At 44.5% G+C, this 23077-nt stretch overlaps 1 protein-coding gene and 1 non-coding gene across 28 annotated transcripts in view, besides 2 other annotated features; one reads left to right on the top strand and one right to left on the bottom strand.

Annotated features, from left to right (window-relative positions):
- The window catches only part of GREB1 (growth regulating estrogen receptor binding 1), a 159901-nt gene that overhangs the window by 99690 nt on the left and 37134 nt on the right, over nt 1–23077 (bottom strand). For 7 of the 27 annotated variants that reach the window (XM_011510418.4, XM_024453250.2, XM_011510419.4 and 4 more), the window contains exon 1: nt 2991–3280. The exons of 9 other annotated variants lie outside the window; for them this stretch is intronic. The gene's annotated coding sequence lies outside the window, so the exon portion shown is untranslated. Of the gene's footprint in view, nt 1–271; nt 414–2990; nt 3281–8844; nt 9055–23077 lie in introns of those variants that run through there. 11 more of the 27 variants (XM_047446467.1, XM_005246192.5, XM_047446461.1 and 8 more) reach the window with 3 other exon arrangements.
- MIR4429 (microRNA 4429) lies at nt 2422–2494 on the top strand. Its single transcript, NR_039627.1, has one exon. It is a non-coding gene; the product is annotated as a microRNA 4429 (primary transcript).
- Nucleotides 4451–4960: an enhancer, noted in NCBI's record as "H3K4me1 hESC enhancer chr2:11678265-11678774 (GRCh37/hg19 assembly coordinates)". NCBI's record gives its function as "activates a minimal SCP1, AML or CMV promoter by ChIP-STARR-seq in naive H9 embryonic stem cells {active_cell/tissue: H9 hESC(naive)}" and the evidence as "EXISTENCE:reporter gene assay evidence [ECO:0000049][PMID:30033119]".
- Nucleotides 22063–22564: an enhancer, noted in NCBI's record as "H3K27ac hESC enhancer chr2:11660661-11661162 (GRCh37/hg19 assembly coordinates)". NCBI's record gives its function as "activates a minimal SCP1, AML or CMV promoter by ChIP-STARR-seq in primed H9 embryonic stem cells {active_cell/tissue: H9 hESC(primed)}" and the evidence as "EXISTENCE:reporter gene assay evidence [ECO:0000049][PMID:30033119]".

The raw sequence follows: 23077 nt of genomic DNA, 5'->3' as shown, positions 1-23077 counted from the left end.
TTCCCATGGTGCCCGGAACACTGCAGGTCCCCAGAAAACAACCCCTAAAAAGAGACAGTAGACGAGGAAAAGGAAGACCACATGCTTAAGGTTACAGAGAGGATTGTCAAGAAATAGACTGAGGTCCTGTCTGAAAGCATTTGGATTAGCATTTAAAGCCCCAGGTGTACCAAATAAACACATCTGCGGCTTTAATTTAGGCCCCTGGGATGCCACCGCTGTTAGAATTCCAGAAAACTAATTAGCTAATTCCCACTGCCCCAGGTATTACCTGAACTCACTTTGTTGTTTTCTGCTCCAAACAAAGCCAGAGGGGCCAGAGGAGAGCCCTTCCTATGGGCATCAAAGTACAAGATGTGCGCTTTGATTCTTTCTCCATGAACACACTGCTGCTCAGCCGCCCCGTGTCTGTTCTCTCTTCAGTTTACTCTTAAGCCAAAATCAACTGCTCCCTCTTCTGCCCTCCCCCCGCCCCAGCACTTTGCTCATACTGCACCCTCACTGGGCTCTGGGTTTGTTCTCCCTGGGGCCACAGGGAGTGTGTCAGTGTCTACACCTCCCCCAGGGACTGAGTTGCTAAATGCAGCAAGGAAGCTCACCCATCTCCCCTCTTCCCCTCGTTCCTCTCAGAGCCCAGAACAGTTTCTTACGGGAGAGTGGATCTGCAAGGGAATGGCATTGACTCTGCCGATGATCCCACGCTGCAGATCCTACTCGACCACCACCCAGGCCACCCCAAGCTCCAAGAGCAGATGCAGCCGGGGGCCTTCGGGGTCTCAGGGCTCAAGTACAGATAGCCAGGTCTCTCCCAAGCCACACATGGACAGCTTCTGGCCTGTTCTATGCCTGCCCTGTGAGAAGCAAAGAACTTTCCTCTTCCAGAATCAGGATTTTGCCTTAAACAAAGGTAAATGCTTACATAATCTGAATTGGATCCTTGGCAGAAATATTTCATTACCACTTGTTGCTAAGGGTGAAACTGAACTAGACACAGTTCCTGCCCTGAAGAACCTCACCGAGACACAGGAAGTGCAGGTCAGCAGTGTAATGCAAAATAGAAGAGATGGGGGCAAGAAGGCCTGGAGGGAAACAGAGAAGGGAATGGAAAATTCTATCAGGTCAGTCTTGGCGGGCCTCATGGAAGGCTCAGTCATCAAAGTTGAGTACAGGTTTGCTGTCTGAAAAGAAGGGGCTTTCCAGGCAGAACGTATACAAGGCATCGGCTTGACCCAAGGGCGAGACACCTATTGTGTGCCTGGGCAACACAGGTCCTTCCAGCATGAGGTGTATGCAGGGACAGGGGGTAGGAGGGCAACGAGGGGCCCGTTCAGCCTAAGCCCTGCTAAGGTGTTTGAAATTAACCACGTCAAGCCACCAAAGGAGTTAGGCAGGGCTGATGAGGCTGTGTTTGAGATTCCTGCGGCTTCCTAAGGAAGGCTTCTAGGAGGATACTGCAATAGACCAAGACTCAAAGAGGACTAAAGACTGCCTCTGTGCAGGGTGAGTAGCACGAGGAGCCTAGCTGACCTCGGGCTTTGGAAAGAGTCGGAGGCAGTGGTGGTCTCACTGTCATAGAGAAGAGTAGTGCATGGGGGTCTGAAGAGAGAGCTGAGAGGTCACGATGCCAAGTGTTCCGATCCCCATGGCCCCCCTCTCACTTGCCATCCACTCACTCGCGGATGCCCACAGAACCCGCCTGTGCACAGAGCCTCAAGCGGTGTGATACCCTCTCCTCCAGAAGGATCCATGGCAGAGAAGGAAGGGCCATGGTCTGGAGTCAAGTCTATAAGAGCAAAACCCCAACCCTGGCTTCCTGCCCGGCCTCCCTTTCCCTTCCCTTTCTGCCTCACTGCCTCCATTCTGAATCACATCCAAAACACACCACATACCCTCCCACCTGGGGTTCCATCTCCTTCTGGGAGATGGCCTTCTCCTAGAAGCCCTGCCAACCTGGCCCTTCAGGGCCACTACCCTGGCCAGCCACAGGGACATGACCCCACCCCAAATCTCACTAGAACACCCCAAATTCCAGACATCACTGACCCATGCTCCCTCCTCTTCTAACTTCCCTACAACTAAATTCTAACTGGAAGAATTCCCCAGCCAACACAGAAGCATGGTGACTTACTTCTGGTGAGTCCAAAGTTTGAGAAAACAAGACTTGAAAAAAGCAACACTCTCCGGACTGCGTCCTCAACCTGTCTCACTTTCAACAGCTGAGGAAGGATGGGAATGGGGTGCTCCAGTAATGTGGCAATAGTCAGCCCCCAATATATGACACGGCAATAAACGCATTGAGACTGCAGGATGGTCTCCTATAAACTCTTTGACGGTCCTCCCAGCAGGAAACAAGACATCATTCTCATGTAGATTTCTCCGATTTTCCCTAGAGGAACTCATAAACTCCACAGGTGTTACTGAAGGGAGAAAAGCTGGGCTGAGAGGCGACTGGTGTCTAATTTGTTTGTCTCTCCAACTCAGACTGCCTGGCCCACAGCCACAGCTCAGCCCCGAGCTGCTCTACATCTGTGCACAGAATGTCAGAGAGTGTTTCTTTGGAGAATATCTTTAAGTGCTCTCAAATGGAACTACAGAGCCATCAGCTATGTCCCCTCCGATTGCAGTAAGAACTGAATGGAAGAGAAGGACCTTCAGAATAAAGCCAGGGAAGCAGAAACCACTGAAAACCTTCTCTCTGGAACCAACCAGGCAGGGCCCAAGCAGTGTTTTGAATCTCCTTAGCCTATCATTCATAAGAACACAAACTAATTATCTGCAATCCCTTTGGATATCATTTCAAACAATAAAAATAAGGACACCCGTTCATTAAGTGGACTTGTCTCGGTTTACTGCTCCCCTGCACCTTATTAGAAGGGCCAATGCTTTGCCATTATTCTGCTGAACACAGGCCACAGCTGTCTTCGTAAGTCAACACAAACCTCTCCAACCCCCAAAGCAGGTGCTCGCTTGCAAAGTCAAATAAACCGTACCTTACAAAAAGCTGGTCACTTCAGGCACTCCACAGACCAACCAGCCAAGAGGCTAAGCCCAGCAGAGGTGGAAAGTGTGCAGGGGCTCCCGCCTCCTGGGCTGCGCCTTTGATCTGTGCCTGGGGATGGAAGAGGATGCGTGGGGCGCGTAATGCCCTGCTGTGCAGAGCCTGGCTCGGGTCTGCCTGACACCCAGGCTTCCTGGCCCCTGCCCGGCAGGGAGAGGCAGCCAAGCCAGCCAGGGGAAAAGTTTCAGAGCTAGTATCTGCTCCCAGAGCTACAACAACAACCAAAAAAAAAAAAAAAAAAAAAATTCAGCAGTAGCCCTTCCAACTGGAGCTTCATCTGCCCCAGCGCCTGCCGGGTCAGATGGCAAATGCCACCGTTTCGTGTCTTCTTAGCCCTGAAGTGTTTTGCTGGGTCACAGTGCTCTCCACACAGGTACATACCAATCTGTCTAACCACCAACAGTTAAACTGATTCTTTTTAAACTACATGGAAGTTTGTGTACTTGGACTGGAGCCACAGTACGCTGTGCAAAGAACAAAGGGTCAGGAGAAGAACACAGGCTTTGTGGTGGAAGACAGTCAGCTGGCAGCCTGGCTTGCCTCCGAAGGACTACAGGTAGCGTGGACCTAAGCCACATAAGCGAGCACGTGCCCCTTCAAACAACTCTGCTGTGAATACCATGGAACATGCCCCAACAACAAAAACCCCCTGGAGAGGCCCAGGAAATCTTCAAGAAAACACCAGCTATTGGCTGGGCACAATGGTTCACACCTGTAATCCCAGCACTGTGGGAGGCCGAGATGGGAGGATTGCTTGAGCCCAGGAGTGGGAAACCAGCCTGGGCAACATAATGAGACCACATCTCTACAAAAAATAAAAATTAACTGGCTGTGGTGGTGCACACCTGAAGTCCCAGCTACTTAGAAGGTTCAGGTGGGAGGATCGCTTGAGCCCAGGAGGCAGAGGGTGCAGTGAGCTGTGATCGCACCACTGCACTCCAGCCTGGATGACAAAGTGAGACCCTATCATAAGAGAAGAGAAGAGAAGAGAAGAGAAGAGAAGAGAAGAGAAGAGAAGAGAAGGGAGGAGAAGGGAGAAAGGAGGAGAAGAGAGGAGAGGAGGGGAAGGGAGGGGAGAGGAGGGGAGGGGACACGAGGGGAGGGGAGGGGACACGAGGGGAGGGGAGGGGGAAGGAAGGAAGGAAAAGAAAGAGAGGGAGGGAAAAAGGGAGGGACGGAGGGAGGAAGGAAGGAAGGGATGGAGGGAGGGAGGAAGGGAGGGAGGAAGGAAGGAAGTAAAGAAGGGAAGGAAGGAAGGAAGACGGGAAGGAAGGAAGGAAGAAAGGAAGGAAAGAAGGAAGGGAAAGTGAGAGAGAGGGGGAGGGAGGAAGGGAGGGAGGGAGGGAGGAAGGAAAGAAAGAAAGAAAGAAAGAAAGAAAGAAAGAAAGAAAGAAAGAAAGAAAGAAAGAAAGAAAGAAAGAAAGAAAGAAACACAAGCTCCTGTCCAGAGCTCTCTTTACATCCCTGTTGCAATTGACTCTTACGAATCCAGGACTCCTGATCAAATCCTAATTCAAAAAGGAAAGAAAATAAATCATGAGAGCCCACTCCAATTGTGCAAATACCTTTAACTTTGCTTTTTCTCTTCTTGCTAGGATCACTAACTTCCTGCAAAAGTGACTTGAATATGACCCAGAGGGTTCAAGGTCATTTATCTTTTGTAAAAAAAGGTTAAAGAGGTGGATTACTCCTCTTGGTGCCCCAGTCAGGGAGGAGAGTTCCCAGCTGTTCCTGGGCTCAGTCCCCAAAATTGCCAGGCGCTAAAGGGTAGAACTTGTGTGGTGGGCTTCTTCGTTCCCAGGCTGGGCAGTGCCTCCCTAGAAAGGGCAGTGGAGACCCCACCCATCCCTGCACCTTCATCGCCAGGCAGGGGTGGCACCCGCTGGAGGTTCTGCCCGAGCGAGCATCTGCAGCTCTGAAGCATCCCTAGTGCCAGGGCTTTACTCGTTGGGGAGGCACACTGTACGCGGTCTGTACGTGGAGTGCCCCGTGCCTTCTGCCACTCAGGGCACCGTGTGTGACGGTGGGAAACTGGAAACTAACAAAATACCCAGCAAAAAATGCATACTTAACACAGCCTGCAATAAATGCATAAAAGCTATGTGCATGAAGAGTTTGTCAATGATGCAGACACACTTAGGATACAACATTCAGCAAGATACATTTACTGTATAGAAAGATAGGTAGATCCTGCGGATAATTTTAAATTCTTATATATGAGATCATATATATTAAAATACATGTATGTATTTTATGTTAAAATAGTATATTTTATTTATAAATATATAAAATTTATATATTATTATATATTATATAAATATCATATATTTATCTAATATATGATATTTATGTAATATATAATATATAAAATATTTTTATATTTTTATATAATATATAAACTTATAACATGTTAAAATAGTATATACTATTTATTATATTTTTAGAGAAGGGAAGAGAGTTTAAGCAGTAGAGTTTTTAAGATGATGGGCTCTGGAGCCAGGTTTGGGTTTGAATCTTCACTTACTGGATATTAGACCTTGAGCAAGTTACTTAACCTTTATGTGCCTCAGTTTCCCCAACTGAAAAATGGGAGAAAAGTACTTGCTTCTTAGAGTTGTGTGGATTTAATAATTAGTATGTATAGGGTGCTTAGCATGGTACCTGGCACATATATAATATTATACATGCCAGGATAATAGTAACAATTCTTACCAATATGAAGCTTGCCACCTGTGAATAAATAAATTAAATGTGTAAAAGGGACTGAAAGAAAATGTCGGCCGGCGCGGTGGCTCACGACTGTTATCCCAGGACTTTGGGAAGCCAAGGCAGGCAAATCACCTGTGGTCAGGAGTTCAATCCCAGCCTAGCCAACATGGTGAAACCCCATGTCTACTAAAAAATGCAAAAATCAGCCAGGCGCGGTGGCGGGTGCCTGTAATCTCAGTTACTTGGGAGGATGAGGCAGGAGAATCTCTTGAACCCAGGAGGAGGAGGTTGCAATGAGCCACAATTCCAACACTGCACTCCAGCCTGGGCGACAAGAGTGAAACTCCATCTCAAAGAAAAATAAAAAAAAAGAAAATATCTATGGTACTTGCCTCTAAGAATTCAAGGTTTTTTAAAACATGCTTCTTTCAACTGTGCTGTAAATTGCTAACTTTTAAAATTGATGTAACTTACTATTATGAGGAGAAAATTAGCAAAGTTTGCCTTCATTAGGTGTGAATTGCAATGACTTTGAACCCACTATGCTTTCTAATTACTGTCAAAAATAGGCTTTTGATGTGAAAATAGCAATGAGGTACCTAAAGAGGAGAGAGCTCACCTCCAGTGTTAACTCCATCTGCTGTGCGGCTCTCTTCTCAGTTTAAATCTGCAATTCTTTGCTTAATGCCAGTATCTCTTCTTGCCATAAATCTCTTTGTTCTATTCTATACATAATGCTCTTCTACCCCTGGCCAAATCCTCTCCACATTAAACATGACAATCATAGCCACAGTTTGGCACTTTTTGGCATTTTTCTCTTTTTGGCCACAATGGCTAGGAGTGATAACTTTCAAAAAGCAGAAAAGTCTCTACCTATCCAACAAAATGCTCTAGAAACTATATAACCACCATTAATAAATAAATATGGCTTGGCTTTTACAAAATGTTTCCCTGAGAGGTTTCCAGATCACTAGAGAAGACAAAGCTTTACTGGGACAAATCATGCGGGGTTGGTGCTGCTGGCACTGCCTGGTTGCTGACTGCCTGGGGCACAAGCAGTGCCTCCGTATCCTGTCACACCTCCGACTCTGCACATGCTGTGTTCCCGCTGCCTCATCCCTCAAGACCCAGTTCAAGCATCTCTTCAATTGTGTGGTGGTTCTGACCTCCCGAAACTGAGCTGGGCATTCTCTTTGTGTCCCCACCACTCCTGTGTATGCTCCAGGCTTGCGGTGGTCTCCCAGGACCATGGTTAATCTGTGTGCTTCCCTCTCTCCCCTGCTGCCTGGGATCCCCAGGAGAGCAGAGAACATGCAGATGTACGCCCTTGGCCAATCACAGTGCCTAGGAAATAGAAGGTATCTGATAAGAGTTTATTTACAAGGTAGTGTTTGCATTTTACAGGGAAAAAAAAAAGAGTTCAGGGCAGCAAGAAGAAAGAAGATGAACAATTCCGACATCCATATCCAGGCAAAATGTAGACAGCCCAGAGATTTCAGAGATTTAGTGGGCACGGTCAGGAAGTGGGGAAGATAAAACAAATCATGTAAGTGGGGCTAATGCAACCTTTTTCTATACTCGTGAAAACCCAAGGACCCAAGCCTTCCCATCTAGTTAAAGACTTTCCTCAGCCTCTCCCCTTGAATCACCGAATCCTAGACTCTCAGACCTAGAAGTAACCAAAGAACTCAATCAATGTATTTCAATCAACACACACCTTATTTCTCTATTATTTATTTATTATTATTTTTTAAGTGTCATCCTGTGTGCCAGGCACTGGAAACTCGAAGAGTAAAGTCCTTTCCTTGTAAAAATGCTGTTTAATGGAAACAGACATTTAGATTATGGTATGAGAATTAACTTCTAATTCAACATGGTACCTGGCCCTTCCTGAGATGACCTTCAAAAGATACTGAATTAAAAATAAATAAATAAATAAATAAATAAGTGGGGTGAGGTATTTTAAGCCACAGTGATGAAAAGATGGAAGGGATGCCATTAGCTAACTAGAGGTTCAGGTTTCATAAACTTCCAGAAGCCAGACTAGAGAGGGAATGTGGAGCTGACACAGGAGAAGGGTGCATACCTGGGGGGACCAACTGGCCCTGAGGAAATGCAGAGACTCAGATACGCCAGACAAGTGTTGGGAGGAGTGCACAGCAGCGCTGGGACCAGGGGTCTTCTGTGAAATCCTGTCTACAGAGCAGGTAGCTCCTCTACCTCCCACCCCAGGGCCACATGCAGATCTCCCAGGAGCCAGGCGTTCACCCCAGGCAAAAAATACCGAAAGCTCTTCTGATACAAATTGAATCAACCAACAAGAACTAGAGCCGCTAACGCACAGTCTGGCATTCAGAGGCCTCCAGAATGCCAGCTGATTCTGTCCTGAGCACCCCAAAAGTGACACCTGCCAGACACCAGCGCCCCCTGTGGACACAACACTCCCAGTCAACCTTCTCTGCCTCACTCTTAAACACACATGAAAATCCAAGGGTCATGTAGCACTTAAGGAAGGAAACATGAAAACAACATCCAGGAGAAGAAACAGAAGAAAAGACACCAAAGCAATCAGAGAACAACCAGGTATATGTGAAGAAGAAGCACACATCCCCCTCTAATTACCATCCTCAGGAAGACTGAGGGCCACACTCTGTTTCCCAACCAACCCAATCACTGAGCCACTCAACAATCACACAAGAGGAGCTCTCACGGGTGAGCCTGTTGATCTGGCTTTACTGCTGAGGGGCCCCCAGGTAAACTGAAGAGCTGTGCAGAAAGGCTGGGGGTATGAAAGCCGCACGCTCCCCACTTCAGCACACAGGGTCAGCAAGAGTTGCAGTGATGTTCCCACATACAGTCAGTTCAGCTATAACGCTTGTTTTGAAACTGCAAATTTGTACGGACAGATTGACATATTACAGAACAATTTGAATACCTTGTGGGTTTTGTGTGTGCCTGGTGATTTCCTCTGCAAGAAACACAAAAGTAAGTTCAGAAAAATGGTGCCCAACTGACCCCAGCTGCTTGAGAATATACAAAAGGCGCACACACACCAGCCTCAAGCACCTACCACCTACCTCCAGTCACCACACGTGTTAAAAGCCATGTCCTTCCACACATGGTGTCAGAACTTTCCATAGGGCTCCAGGTCTCTGTCCTTCTTCCATTTGGCAGGTCCTCAAGAGCTGCAAGCCTTCCATTGAAAAAACTTTATTTCATTTACCTTTGCACTTTGAGGTAAAATCCCATCTCTACTGCAGTATTTATGTATCTCTTAACCATTTAGCATGTGTAAAACGGTGCTGCCCTTTTTATTAGGTTTTTATCTTTTTAAAAAATGTGTCATTGATGAAGTTTTTGAGAGCTGTTGCCCTAAGCCTGTATTCGTCATAAACCCTGCGGTTTTTATTGCCCAATCTTGCATGGTGCAATAATTTTTAGGAACACATATATCAAGTTATAGTAGAATTGATTATGTGTTTACATTTCTGCCTGCAAGCTACAATTTTCTCCTAGGGGAGAACATGGCGGGAGAGCATGGTGTGCAGATTCTAGTTTAGAAAATATGGTCCACACAACTGAATTTCACACCAGTCACCCCTAGTTCATTGTTTCTGGCTACCCCAAAACGTTCATCACCGGCTTGCCTTTCTCCCTGCACTAAGCTAGAATCTCAAAGAACCAATTGTTGGGTTTTGTTGGTAGCAATCTGTGTATCATCCATTTTTTCCTCCATCAAACACAAAATTAAATTCAAGCATAAATAATGAAATTGTTGTTCCCGGCTTCTGTTTACAGAGTCTCAGGGACGCTGTGGAGCTGGGTGTGCCTGGGTCCAGTCCCTGCCCCCTCACCCACCGGAGCTGTGTGACCTTGGACAGCCTCCCTCACTCCCTGAGCTCCAGTTTCCTCAGCCATAAACAGAGATAACAGTGCTGACTTCAAAGCTGACTTTGTGAGGATTAAATGAGATAATGTAGTAGAGTATTTAGTACTGTGGCTGGCACTTCAGTGTTTTCCCATTTATCTGTTTTTTTCAAGATGAGTGATCTCTTTGCTGATCATAAACATATTCCTCCATCTGTCTTGTGTTATTCGCCTGCATTGAAATCCCATCCCAATCCCCGTCTCTATTTGAAAGTGGAGCTTAAAAATTGCAAAAATGAATAATTGGGATGTGCAAAACCTCTTAACTTGTAGCACCAAGTTTTTTGTCTCATGTTGATCAGTCTCTCTCTTCTTGCATTTCTCTCCCATTAGTTTGGAGTTGCCATTCATTCCTTCATTTATTCATTCACTCAACAAACATTTATGGGTGCCTGGTATCTACTGGCTATGTGACTGACTTAACTTCCCAGAGCCTCAGTTTTCTTGGCAAAATGAAGATAATAATACCTCTATCATAAGGTTGTTGGAAGGCTTTCCATGACACCAGGACCGTAAAGCACCTTTTACACCGTCTGCCATATGGCAGGTGCTCAACAAAGGATATCTTTAAGCAGTATCATCACGATGACAATGGACAAGCCATATCCCTAACAGGGCTTAAACCTGGATAACAAGAACACTGTTTCCACTGCGCTAGTGGGGACAAGCACACACATCGCTGGGAAGATCTGCAAGCCTCCCTCCTCCCACAGACCCAAACATGCTGCTGCAAATGTCTCACTGGCTACAAAACAATGAGTCTGATTACGACCCACAGAAATGAAAAGGCAGCAAACTTGTTTAGGTATGATTCATCATTGTCTGCTGCGGCAATCAGAAGTATTTTGGTTGCTTCTAGGTCAGAATGACCCAGTTGCCACACTTTTTTTCACTGCTAAAGTTCGTAATGAACCTTTAAACAAAAACTAAAGGCGTAAGGAAAGATAACTACTTTGTGGCTTTTGCTCAAAGTGAGGACGTTATCAGCTCTGCCCTTCAGAAGCAAGCCCTGATCAAGGAAACCATTCACACTTGATTTTCTTTATTTTATTGGCCACAATTGAACATAGGTATAATTTTCATGAACCTCCCTCGCTCCAAGACCAGAGCTCCTAGGAAGTTGTCTTTCCCATCTGTTTCCCGGCCCCTACCAGAAATAAGTGCCATGAGAGTGTTGACTGATGAAGGGCTCCTATACGCGGGTTGATTTTCAAGCAGTTAAGAAGCAAGAATTAATGACTCGAATATATGATCTTTGCTAAACTCTTCAGGAATAAATGAACATTTCCCACTTTATTCTTGCTAATGTTGACTCCTTAGCAAAGATAATTTCAACATATTTAATATGGCATATTCAAATGACAGAAAGTACGAAACAATAGTAGAAAGCAGAGAAAAGTATATATAAAGAGAGAAAGCGGTATCATTCACATCTTTAACACCTAATCTAATTGTAATTTTCTTAAATGCATAGAAAAAAGACTGGGAGGAAATACACTAAAATGTTAACAGTGGGTATTTTAAAACAAGAATTAGGCGAGGTGCGGTGGTTCATGCGGTAATCCCAGCACTTTGGGAGGCCGAGACGGGTGGATCACTTCAGGTCAGGAGATCAAGACCAGCCCGGCCAACAGGGCGAAACCCTGTCCCTACTAAAAATACAAAAATTAGCTGGTCATGGTGGCAGGTGCCTATAATCCCAGCTACTTGGGAGGCTGATGCAGGAGAATCGCTTGAACCCGAGATGCCAAGGTTGCAGTGAGCCAAGATGGTGCCACTGTACTCCAGCCTGGATGACAGAGCAAGACTCTATCTCAAAATAATAATAATAATTAATTAATTAATTAAATGTTTAAAAATAAAATAAAAGCAAGAATTATACGCAATTTTTTTTTCTTGTTTCTAATCATCTGTATTTTCTAAATTTTTTACAAATGATCACATGCATTTTTTATAAACAGCTTTTTTGGGGTAAATTATAATCATGAAATTCCGTCAAGCTTGAATCTCTCTGTAGGCTGCACAACGTGGAACAGATGAAAGGAACCAAATGCTGGAGTCGCACCAACCTGGCTCTGCCTATCTCCAGCAGGCAAGTCACTTAACCTCTATACAATTAGTGGTCTGAACTAAACCAGCTCCTTGGCAGCCTAGGCTCTAGCTCAACATCTGCTTGTATGCGTCAAGCAACTACACTCCCACAGTAAACTGGGAACCTACTGGGAGCTAAATAGAAGCAAATATCCCCAGGCCTGGGTGACACTGACTGAGCTGACCTCCAGTACAGGGCCTGAGGCCACTCAGGAAGCAGCCAGGGCACCTGCCCACACCCTCCAAACAGGCCCACCTACCTAGGGAACTCTTTCTCCCTGGCACTAGGCTAGTTTTGGGGGGGTTAATGGAGTTATGGACTGGGATGGGCAGCCTTGTACAAAGGGCTTCTCTGGCCAGAGAGAGCCGGTGTCTGCTCCGCAAACACCAAACTTCCCCACCCTTCCTGGCCAGCCTCAGATCCTATTTCCCCCACACAGCCTTCCCACATTGGCCAACCCTCACTCTAACCCCTTTTTAAAAATTGTGTGTATTAAACTTAAGTAGATACAAAAGAATATTGGTATGTATGTTGCACAGACTCATGATATGATGAACACCATGCACCACATGCAGGTTCTGGTGAAGGTGCACTTCATCATCGTCTTTGAAGTCCCCTTCTTGTCCTCCATCCCTGCCCCCCATTAACTCACATCCTGAATTTTATGTTTATTTTTCCCTTGCTCTTCATGATTTTAACAACATGATGGATTTAATTGTAACTTAATTTTTTTTTTTTTTTTTTTTTGAGACCGAGTCTCGCTCTGTCCTCAGGCTGGAGAGCAGTGGTGCAATCTCAGCTCACTGCAACCTCCGCCTCCCGGTTCAAGCGATTCCCCTGCCTCAGCCTCCTGGTAACTTAACTTTTAACCTAAATTTTAACATAGATTTTACTTTTTTTTTTTTTCCTATTTGGCAAAGATCAACTTTAGTGTGCATAAGAATCACCTAGGGCCGGGCGCACTGGATCACACCTGTAATCCCAACACTTTGGGAGGCCAAAGTGGGTGGATCACTTGAGGCCAGGAGTTGGAGACCAGCCTGGGCAACCTGGTGAAACCCCATCTCTACAAAAAGTGCAAAAATTAGCTGGGTGTGGTGGCTTGCACCTGTAGTCCCAGCTACTAGGGAGGCTGAGGTGGGAGAATAGTTTGAGCCCAGGAGGTTGAGATTGCAGTGAGCCAAGATGGTGCCCCTGTCCTCCATCCAGCCTAGACAACAGAGTGAGACTCTGTCTCAGAAAAAAATAAAATAAAATAAAATAAAATAAAAAATCACCTAGGGGTCTTATTAAAATGCAGATTCTATTTCAGTACCTCTGGGCTACAGCCTCCAAATTTAGCATTTCTGACAAGCCAATTTAACTTAATTTTCATTTAACTTTTAAACTAAGAAACATATTGTTTCATTTTACATTTAGTTTTGTTTAGTTTTACATTTCTCAACTGTGTATGAATGGGCTCATGCTGTATGAATTTTCTAAGACTTGCTTTTCTGCCTCATACAATGTTCCTGAAGTTCATCCACAATGTTGCCTGTACCTGTGAGTCATTCACATTCAATGCTGTATAGTATTTTATGATATAAATATACCACTTTCTCTTCCCAATCTACATGTTATGTCTATTTGAGGTATTTCTAGCATTTGTGTGTCAGGAGGGTACACACATAACTTGTATCAATCAACATTACTATTTGTCTCCTGTTACACACACAAGTCACAAAGCTGCCAGGGAACTCCAGGGGGCTCACACTATGGGCTACATAAATCGCTCCCCTAGAGCAAGGGGGTGGTACCCACTTACACCCCCATCATCAGGTAAGTAAGTGTTCTGGCTGTTCCACAACCTCATCCATGCTTGTCACCGTCAGACTTTTGAATTTTTGGCAGTCTGGTGGGTGTAAAAGGGTATCTCATTGTGGTTTTAATTTGCACTTCCCTTGTTACTAGTGAAGTTGAGCATCTCGTCCTATGGGTATTAACTATCTGTTTCTCGTTTCTTTCCAATTCCTAAGCCAGCGCCTCAGTTTATCTTAGCAAACCAAAAGAACCTTCTGTGGATAGTCATATCTTGCTCTTAATTAGTTTTCATCCCTGCCCTACAATAGATTCCAATGTGTCTTTTTACTGCTTTACAGGCTCTTTTCTCTCATGGGGTTGAGGGGTACTCTTCCATCTTTACAGGTTTAATACAGATTTGTCAATTTCACTACCTTAAATATTCTTTAGATTACTCTTCCCATTATTTTCAAATGAGGCAGATTCTCTGAATTCTGGTGAATGGGAACTTTCAAAGTCACTGTGGGCAAAAAATATATATAAACCAGGAGAAAATAAAGTCTTCTCTTTTTTGAAGATAATAACTGCTGCAATGCAACTCTGCACTTCAAGTAATCAAAGTCACATTTTAATAATGTAGAGAACTGCCAAAGCTAGTTGAAAAAATTGCCAAGGGCTCATTCTTTATTCAATTTAATTAATGAATGACTTCTAAAAAATATTGTCTGGTTATTCTTTTAGAATAAACATCTATAGGTAGCAAAAAAAAGGAAAAATTTCACAAACATACATTATTTCATAGGCATATTGGTATTAAGGAGTTTGCCCAGGAAATACAGACTTGGTACCAATTAATGCTTACAGATGAAGCATAACTTGGTAAAGGACTTTATAAAATATTCTACTTGGGAGGCTGAGGCAGGAGGGTTGCTTAAGCCTGGGAGTTCAAGACTGCAGAGAACTATAATTGTGATTGTGAATAGCCACTGCACTCCAGCCTGGGCTACATAGCGAGACTCAATCTCAAAAAAAAAATTCTATAACCATAGATTTTACAACTCAAAGGGGACTCAAATCTCTCACCTAGTCTAACCCTCTGACTCATAATAAGAAACTGTTATATCATTTTAAAGACAAGGAATAGAAGAACACTTGATCGGAGTAAATAATTCTGCTACTTTCAACGAGGGTATTTGCAGTGTATAAATTCTTGCCTTGTATGGATAGATTTGAAAGATCTTTCTGCCACAAATGAGCTTTCACATAAATGTGGATTTGGAGTAGATGTAAAGAGATAGAAAAGTCATCATTCTTCTGTTTCACCAGTGATCTCTAGATTTTTGTGATCTGTTCCTCAGACAGTCACAAGCCTATGAATTCAGGGCACTTTCCTGGTGTGAACAGCTAGGACCAGGAAGGTCTGACATAATCCCTGGTGTACTGTTTTCCTCAGGATGTTTTGGGTTTGGTGGAATTTGATTTTACAACCTGAGAAAGGCTGATTCTGAGATATTGTGTGTTTATTCTGCAGTTATTTGACTGTCAGTGCAGAAAGAAGAAAAGCCTTCAAAAAAGTTAAAGGGAAAGGAAATTAAGGGACTTAGGGATATTGATAGGTCTTAAAGCAGTTTGAGGATCTGTATCAGCAGAACAACAAATGTGGGGGACTTTGTTAGAATGCTTTTGGGATTAGGGTCAAGTGTGGCGCCCTCCCAGGCCTCCTGCACTTTTCCTTTGGAGCACCCGTCACACCAGCTCTTCATGCTTCAGTGTCTGTCTTCCCGTAGGACCCTGAACTACATGAGAGCTGAGTCCACATCTGTTTTACTATAGAATCTATGGAGCCTAGGCAGTGCCTGGCTGCCTCACTGAATAGCTCCTGGTTGAATGAATGAGTGCAGTCTTGCTATTTGGAGAGGCTGGCCTTCAGGAAAGACTGTCCAGGGGATGGGTTGTCCAGCCAATCCACCAGATGCCCAGGTCCCACTCTGGGACCAAGCTTCCCCACAAAGCATTTTTAGGCTGAGCAGCTCGGTCCCTCGTGAAGTTATCTTTCCAAAGTTGCACTGAAATGTTATTACCTTGGTTATTTTCTGAAACCATTACAGAAAACAGCCATATGGAATTGGCTTTGGCATTTCCTAACAAATTAAGTCCACTGTATCATTTATATGAGGTCCCACAACCAAAGTTACTTTGAGAATTTAATGCCATGAGAAAATATCTTTTCCCTTGAAGAAGTGACATGCCTCTTTCTTTCTAATAATATGACTAGTAGCACTTATCACTTCCCCATTTTTTTTGACCGCATGATAGCAATAGGTGCATTCAAAAAATAAGCAATGACTAATTTCAGGGAAAGCAAAAAACTATTCAGGACAAAAAACTAATAGTAGTACACTACATGGCTCTGCTGTCCAAGTGTTTACATGACTATAGTGATGTATACATTGAATTGGGCTATCTAAATCATAAATAACTGTAGTGGAAGGATGGAGGGCAGGATGTGGGTGTCTGTGTAGGGAGGATGAGGCATGTGTGAAAAAGAGCAACATCCTTATCTTCCATATTAGAAAGCTTAAGAATATTACCTAAAATTCAAAAATCAAGAAGTAGCAAAATATGTTATTTAGAAATATCAAGATAATTACCAAAAGAATCAGTTAAAAGGATTGAAGCCGGGAGCGGTGGCTCATGCCTATAATCTCAGCGCTTTGGGAGGCTGAGGTGGGTGGATCACTTGAGGTCAGGAGTTTGAAACCAGCCTGGCCAACATGGGGAAACTCCATTTCTACTAAAAAAATACAAAAATTGGCCAGTCGTGGTGGCCGGTGCCTATAATCCCAGCTGCTCGAGAGGCTGAGGCAGGAGAATCACTTGAACCTGGGAGGCAGAGGTTGCAGTGAGCCAAGATGGCGGCACTGCACTCCAGCCTGGGCAACAGGGTGAGACTCTCTCTCTAAAAAAAAAAAAAAAAGGATTTAAAGTTTTTGCCCCCAGAGAACAAGATATGGGAAGAAGGCATGAGTAGCTATAGAGAATAAGATCACAATTAGTACCGAATACATAATGTTATTTAATCTTCACTAAAATTCTTGTTTTACTAATGAGAAAACTAAGGCTTATAGATATTAAGTAACCAAGATCACATAACTAGTAAGTAGTTAAGCTGAGATTTTAATACAGCTTTACTGAAATCCAAAGCTCATAATCTTTCTACTACATTCTGCTCCTCTCTTATTCTCCTCTAAGAGGACTAGTGATATAAAGGAAGAAAGCTTAGAGCCACAGAGTCTCATGAAGTGCCGTATGATGTAAAAAAGAAAGAAATGTGGCAAAGATGAGTGCAGAAGAACGAAGGACAATGTTTAAGACCATTCATAAAACTAGGGCTCTATCCATAATTAACCTGCGTGAACTCAAGCCCTCTATGGATTTTTCTTGCACTAGAACAAGCTAAGTTAGCATTGATAAAAGAAAGCCTTTGATGAAACCCTCTCAAATGTCTGATGCTTCTATGCCAAGCTGAAATACGCCTTAGAAGCACCACCCACAGATGACAGCAGAGTTACTCTCCGGGCAAAGTTAAATTCAGAAGGCACTTGACTCCACGCAGCCCAAAGCTTTACAACAAAGGATCCATCAGGGCACGGCAGAGCATGGGGAAAGCAATGATGCTGAGAGTCCAGGCAGGAGGTGAGTTCACAGCAGGATGGAGCCGGGGCCAGGAGAATCTAGATGGGTCGTTCAGAACCAGGCATATGAAGTTCTGACTGCTGGAGCCCCGACCTCATGCTCCATCCTGCCAGGCTGGTCTGTCTCTGGGTAGGGCAGTCCTGGCCTGGAGAGTGGTGTCTTACACCCTGCAGTTAGTGCTTCCCTATCACCAAGAGTGGTAGAATTTCTGTGTGAGAATAGCCTCCCATGTCTTGGCCAACTGAGGCCCAAGTCAATCAACAGAGTAGGTCATTCCAAAAGGAAACAGGCAAAAGGAAAGAGAATATGACCTGAATGCCTTTTTTTTTTTTTTTTTTTTTGAGATGGAGTCTCCCTCTGTCACCCAGGCTGGAGTGCAGTGGTACAATTTCAGCTCATGGCAACCTCCACTTCCTAGGTTCAAGCGATCCTCCTGCCTCAGACTTCCAAGTAGCTGGGACTACAGGCACACACCCAGCTAATTTTTATATTTTTAGTAGAGATGGGGTTTCACCATGTTGGCCAGGTTGGTCTTGAACTCCTGACCTCAAGTGATCCACCCCCTTCGGCCTCCTGAAGTGCTGAGATTACAGGCGTGAGCCACCGTGCCCAGCCCGGATGCCATTTTAAAGGCCCCATTAAACATGTTTAAATTGCTTGGCTCATATCAGTATGAGTTCAGAGAAGCACCTCACGTATCAATAATCATATTTGGCTGCATGTAACACAGCCAACCACAATGGCTTAACCCAGTAGAGGTCTGTTCTTCCCATGGAACAGCAAGTCTGCAATGACTTCAAGATCAAAGCTCCTTCTGCCTTTTGGAAGGCAGCAAGTGTAGTCCGCTTTCCAAACCAGAAGAGAGAAACATGAGGGATGAAAAGAACACGGCCGCTTTACCAGAAAAACAACAGCGTTTCTAGAAGACCCGCCCATAGATGTCTGCTTACAAAACATTGGCCAGGACTTAGTTTTTTGGCCACCTTAACTCCAAAAGACCCTAGGAAATCAAGCTTTTAGCCAGGTACTCTGCTATCCCTAACAAAATCAGAGTTCTGCTAGCCAGGAAGTGGGGGGATGGACAGGGTTGTCTGCCACAGGCCACACAGACTCCAGCATCCATGCAACCAGTGAAGAGAAGATGACTGATGTGTTTTGGAAAGCACAGTATGAAAAGTAACGAAAGAACAAAACAGAGCAAGGCCAAATATGTCCCAGACAATAAGGTCATGATGACCTTTTGAGAAGAAGAGGATGTTCAGACAGGACGTGGTACTGCAAGGGAAACACAAAAATATCAAAGTGTTATTTTACAATCCTGCAGAGGTGGCTATTTCCACCTAAGTATGGCACACAGATTTCCCTTAGAGGGTACTCTTGCCAGCATTTCACATGCCACTTCATTTCACCCTCAAACAGTCCTATGACTCTTGGCCCTGTCCTCAAGAGTCATGGACATGTCACCTCCCTCTGTCATGTCACCCAACCTAATGGCTGTCAATTAGCAACTGCATTGCAACCTGTTTAGCATTACAACCTGTCTCCTGGGCCTGGCCATGAGAAGCCCCAGCCCACCTCCTTCAGACTGTTGAACAAGCTCTTTCCTCTTCACCAGGCCTTATCAATAATGTCCAACTTGTCTTCTACAACTAACACCTTCTACTGAGAGGAGGGAGAAAAAAGATGAATTTTATATTGAAGTGTTTAATAATTTCATTACAAGGAGTACAAATTTGCACTGGCAAATTTAAATGCAATGTGTACTCTGTGTGTGTGTGTGTGTGTGAGTGTGCATGCACGTGTGTGCATTTCTTCAGACATGATACACTGTGATCCCTTTCCTGTAAATAAAGAGTCCTTGGGCTGAGCCTGAATGAGCCTGAGAAAAGACCTGTCCCAGTATGAATTCATGGGTACCATCTGCTTAGAAAGCAGTTCCATTCTGTGCCAGACACTTTGAACCAATCTAGAGAGCAGAGACCATGGTAACTGATGGAGACCCCCAAATCATGAGCTGCACAGGCTGTGAACACAGTAAGCCGGGGGCAAAGAAGCTAAAGCCTCCCATGGCCTGTCTATGATCACTGGAAAAGAAAACAGGAAGGAGACTGATCAGAAAGACTGAAAACCAGGGTTGTTTGCAGGTCCTCCCGTCTTTCTGGTTTTCATTTGAATCACAACATTAAGACTTCTGCTCGGCATACCAGACATCTATCCAAAATATAGCTTAGAACTCAAGGACAGTTAAGAGCTCTGCAGATCTCTGTGTCGAGGACAGGATGCCCATTTACTGCGTCCAAGGAAAGACACACGTTACAGAAGCCGTACCAATCAACAGAGTTTTATGGACCATCTACCATGGCATCCCAAGACCAATAGCAATTAGCTTCCAAAATAAAAGTGACATTAAAACATAGAATCCACTGAACATGATATTTTTTCTTTTTTTAACTTTTATTTTAGGTTTAGGGTGCGTGTGCAGGTTTGTTATACAGGTAAACTCATGTCATGGGGGGGGTTTTGCACAGATTGTTTCATCACCCGGGTACAAAGTCTAGTACCCAATAGTTATTTTTTCTGATCCTCCCCCTCCTCCCACTCTCCATTCTCAAGTAGGCCCCAGTATCTGTTGTTCCTCCCTGTGTGTCCATTGGTTCTCATCATTTAGCTCCCATTTATAAGTGAGAACATTGCAGTGTTTGGTTTTCTGTTCCTGTGTTAGTCTGCTAAGGATAATGGCCTCCAGCTCTATCCATGTTCCTGCAAAAGACATGATCTCATTCTTTTTTATGGCTGCATAGTATTCCATGGTGTATCTGTACCACACTGTCTTTATCCATCCTGTCTACCACTGATGGGCATCTAGGTTGATTCCATATCTTTGCTATTGTGAATAGTGCTGCAAGAAGATGATATTTTTCTAACTGGAAGATGTCAAACAAGGTGCACAGGATGGATGACAGGCACTTTGGGAATCCTGGTGAGATGTGCTGAAAACAACAAAACCTTTGTTTCAAGCCTGCACAGGCAAAGGGGATCTATATATCAGACATCCCATGACATTGCTATCCCTGAGTCTGCACAGCTAAGATGCTCCCCAGCGGAAGCCTCCCCAGGTCCCTCTGCTTGTGTCATTCTGTGTCCCATCAGAAGTGTTTTATCAGACAGAGCGGATGTGTCCTTGGACTTGAACTCCCTAAAGTAGGAGTTGAACCACACCTGCCACGGGTGTAAGAACCACATGTTCAGTGGCTGTCCTCTTCAAAGCCAAAAGCTCCGGGAGGGCAGGGACCATGATTTGTAGGTTCCTGCTGCGAGTCCTGCAGCAGTGTGCAGGGTCCAGCACAAAAACCAGTATTCAGGCGACAGTTGTGACAGACCCAGCCAAGTTCAACTTCCTAAGTAAGCCTCTTTCAAATACAGAGGCTTAAAAAGCATTAGCTGCAAAAACACTCTACTTTAACCCATTTATGCTGGAGGTTGCAATTTTTTGAATTGCAGACGTGTGTGAAAAATCAGACCTTGGCAATGACATTGAGCAGTAGGATATAAATAATTCCTACATACTTAGTGTTCCAATAATGGAACACTAGGCATAAATGGGTTTAATTGTTCTCCTGGGACTCATTCATATTTAGAATTAATGTTAACACCCAAAAAAAAATCTACTTGAAAATCTTATAATGCAAATGTGCAGAACCCTGGAACTTGGGAGTTGTGCAGAATGCCTGACAAAGCCAGACAGATAGACAGATGCCCCTGGGGGATGATCTGTGCTCCTCTTCGTCTACCAGGCACAAAGCAGAGACTTCCTGCAGACAACTCCGTATTTTGAGTTTAAAGAGCCGAGATTAACTACACCCAGCGGGAGAAAAGCAGAGATCACAACGTGTAGACCACAGATCGCTGCAGGACACGTGTGGGAACAGGGCCTGGTACAGTGGAGTACATTGTACAAAGATGAAGAGCATCAGTGCCACCCACTAAAGTCTTTTGAGGCAATAATTACAGTGTGGTGAAAACTGGCTCAGAATATTTCTAAATACGGCACAAAGTAGCCAACCAGAAATGGTTTGCGTTATTAGCATTTTGCAAGATTTTCAAGTAGATTTATTTACACGTTAAAATTTATTTTGAATCGGAATGAGTTCTTTGATGACAAAGGAGAGGCTCCGTAGCTGATTTTTTGGGCCTCATATTTGACAGAGAACTCTCACTGGGGTTAAGGAGCACAAGATGAGTAGAAGTGAAACAGCCGAGTTTATAGCAAGGGAGCTTCCCAAATCAAGAAAAATTGCAAAGTTAAAAAGCAATTCATCTACGTGGGACACAAATTGTTTTATCCTTTAAAAGTTTTAGAAATTCACACATGCCAATTTTTTTAATATCCTTGAATATCAATCACTTCTGTTCTAAGAAAAGAGACTAGGCCGGGCACAATGGTTCATGCCTGTACTCTCGGCATTTTAGGAGACCAGGGTAGGCCAATTGCTTGGGCCCAGGAGTTCAAGACCAGCCCGGGCAACATTGTGACACCCCATCTCTACTAAAAATACAAAAATTAGCTTGGTATGGTGGCACATGCCTGTGGTCCCAGCTACTCAGGAGGCTGAGGCAGGAGGCATCACCTGAGCCCAGGGAGGTCAAGGCTACAGTGAACTATGGTCACACCAGAGCACTCCAGCCTGGGCAACAGAGTAAGACCCTCGCTCAAAAAAAAAGACAAAGAAGAGAAAAGACCAGCATAAATTCATCCCTCCCTGGGTGAGTGCTGAGTTGCCTATACATGCCTGGCTCAGGTCCTGATAGACCATGGAGCCCACACGGCAGAGGGCATAAGAATTCTAGCACTGCCCGCAGTGGGATCCCAGACGCCCCCTGCTAACTGTGTGACCTTGAAAACATTAGTTAATCTCTCTGCACCTCAGCTGCCTCATCTGTAAGAGGAAGAGAATGGTAGTAACTACCTATGGAAAGCAGGATAATGGCTCCCCAAACACAGCCACCCCCTAAAGCCCGGCACCTGTCAATATGTGACCTTAGTGGGAAATGGCACTTTGCAGATGTGATTCAGATGTGATTCAGGTTCCAGACCTTGAGATGCGGAGATAATGCTGGACTACCTGGGGAGCACAATCTAATCACGTGAGTCTTTAAAAAGAAAGATACTTTGCCATCTGTAATCAGGGATAATACAAGAAGAAGGAGGAAAAGGAAAGAGGAGAGAGAGGGTGGAGAAGGAATTCAAAGCATGAGAGAGACTTGACCAACCCTGTTGGCTTTGAAGGTAGAAGAAAGGAAGCTCCAGCCAAGAAATGTGAGTGGCCTCTAGAAGCTAGGAATGGCCAGCAGCTGATAGGCCTTCCCTACAGGGAACTGAATTATGCCAACAACCCAAATAAGGAAACAGATTCCTCCTGGAGCCACAGGAAAAGAATGCCGCCTTGCTGACATCATGAATCTAGCCCAGTGAGACCAAAACCGATCTTCTGGCCTCCAGAACTGGAAGATAGATAATAAATATGTGCTGTTTTAAGCCAATAGATCTATGATAATTTGTTACAGCAGCAATAGGAAGCTAATACTCTATCTCAAAGGTTTGCTATAAAGATGAAATGAGCTTAATCTATAAAAAGAGCTTAAAACAAGGCTGAGTATTATGGTAAGTACTTAATTAATCATTTAACTTTTTGGTGGCAGGGGACAGGGTCTCACTCTGTCTCCCAGATTGGGGTACCATGGTACAATCACGGCTCACTGCAGCCTCGACCTCCTGGGCTCAAGTGATCCTCCCATCTCAGCCTCTTGCGTAGCTG

Source organism: Homo sapiens, chromosome 2 (genome assembly GCF_000001405.40).
Source record: "Homo sapiens chromosome 2, GRCh38.p14 Primary Assembly".
Taxonomy (NCBI): Eukaryota; Metazoa; Chordata; class Mammalia; order Primates; family Hominidae; genus Homo; species Homo sapiens.
This window is presented reverse-complemented; position numbering and strand designations above follow the sequence as displayed.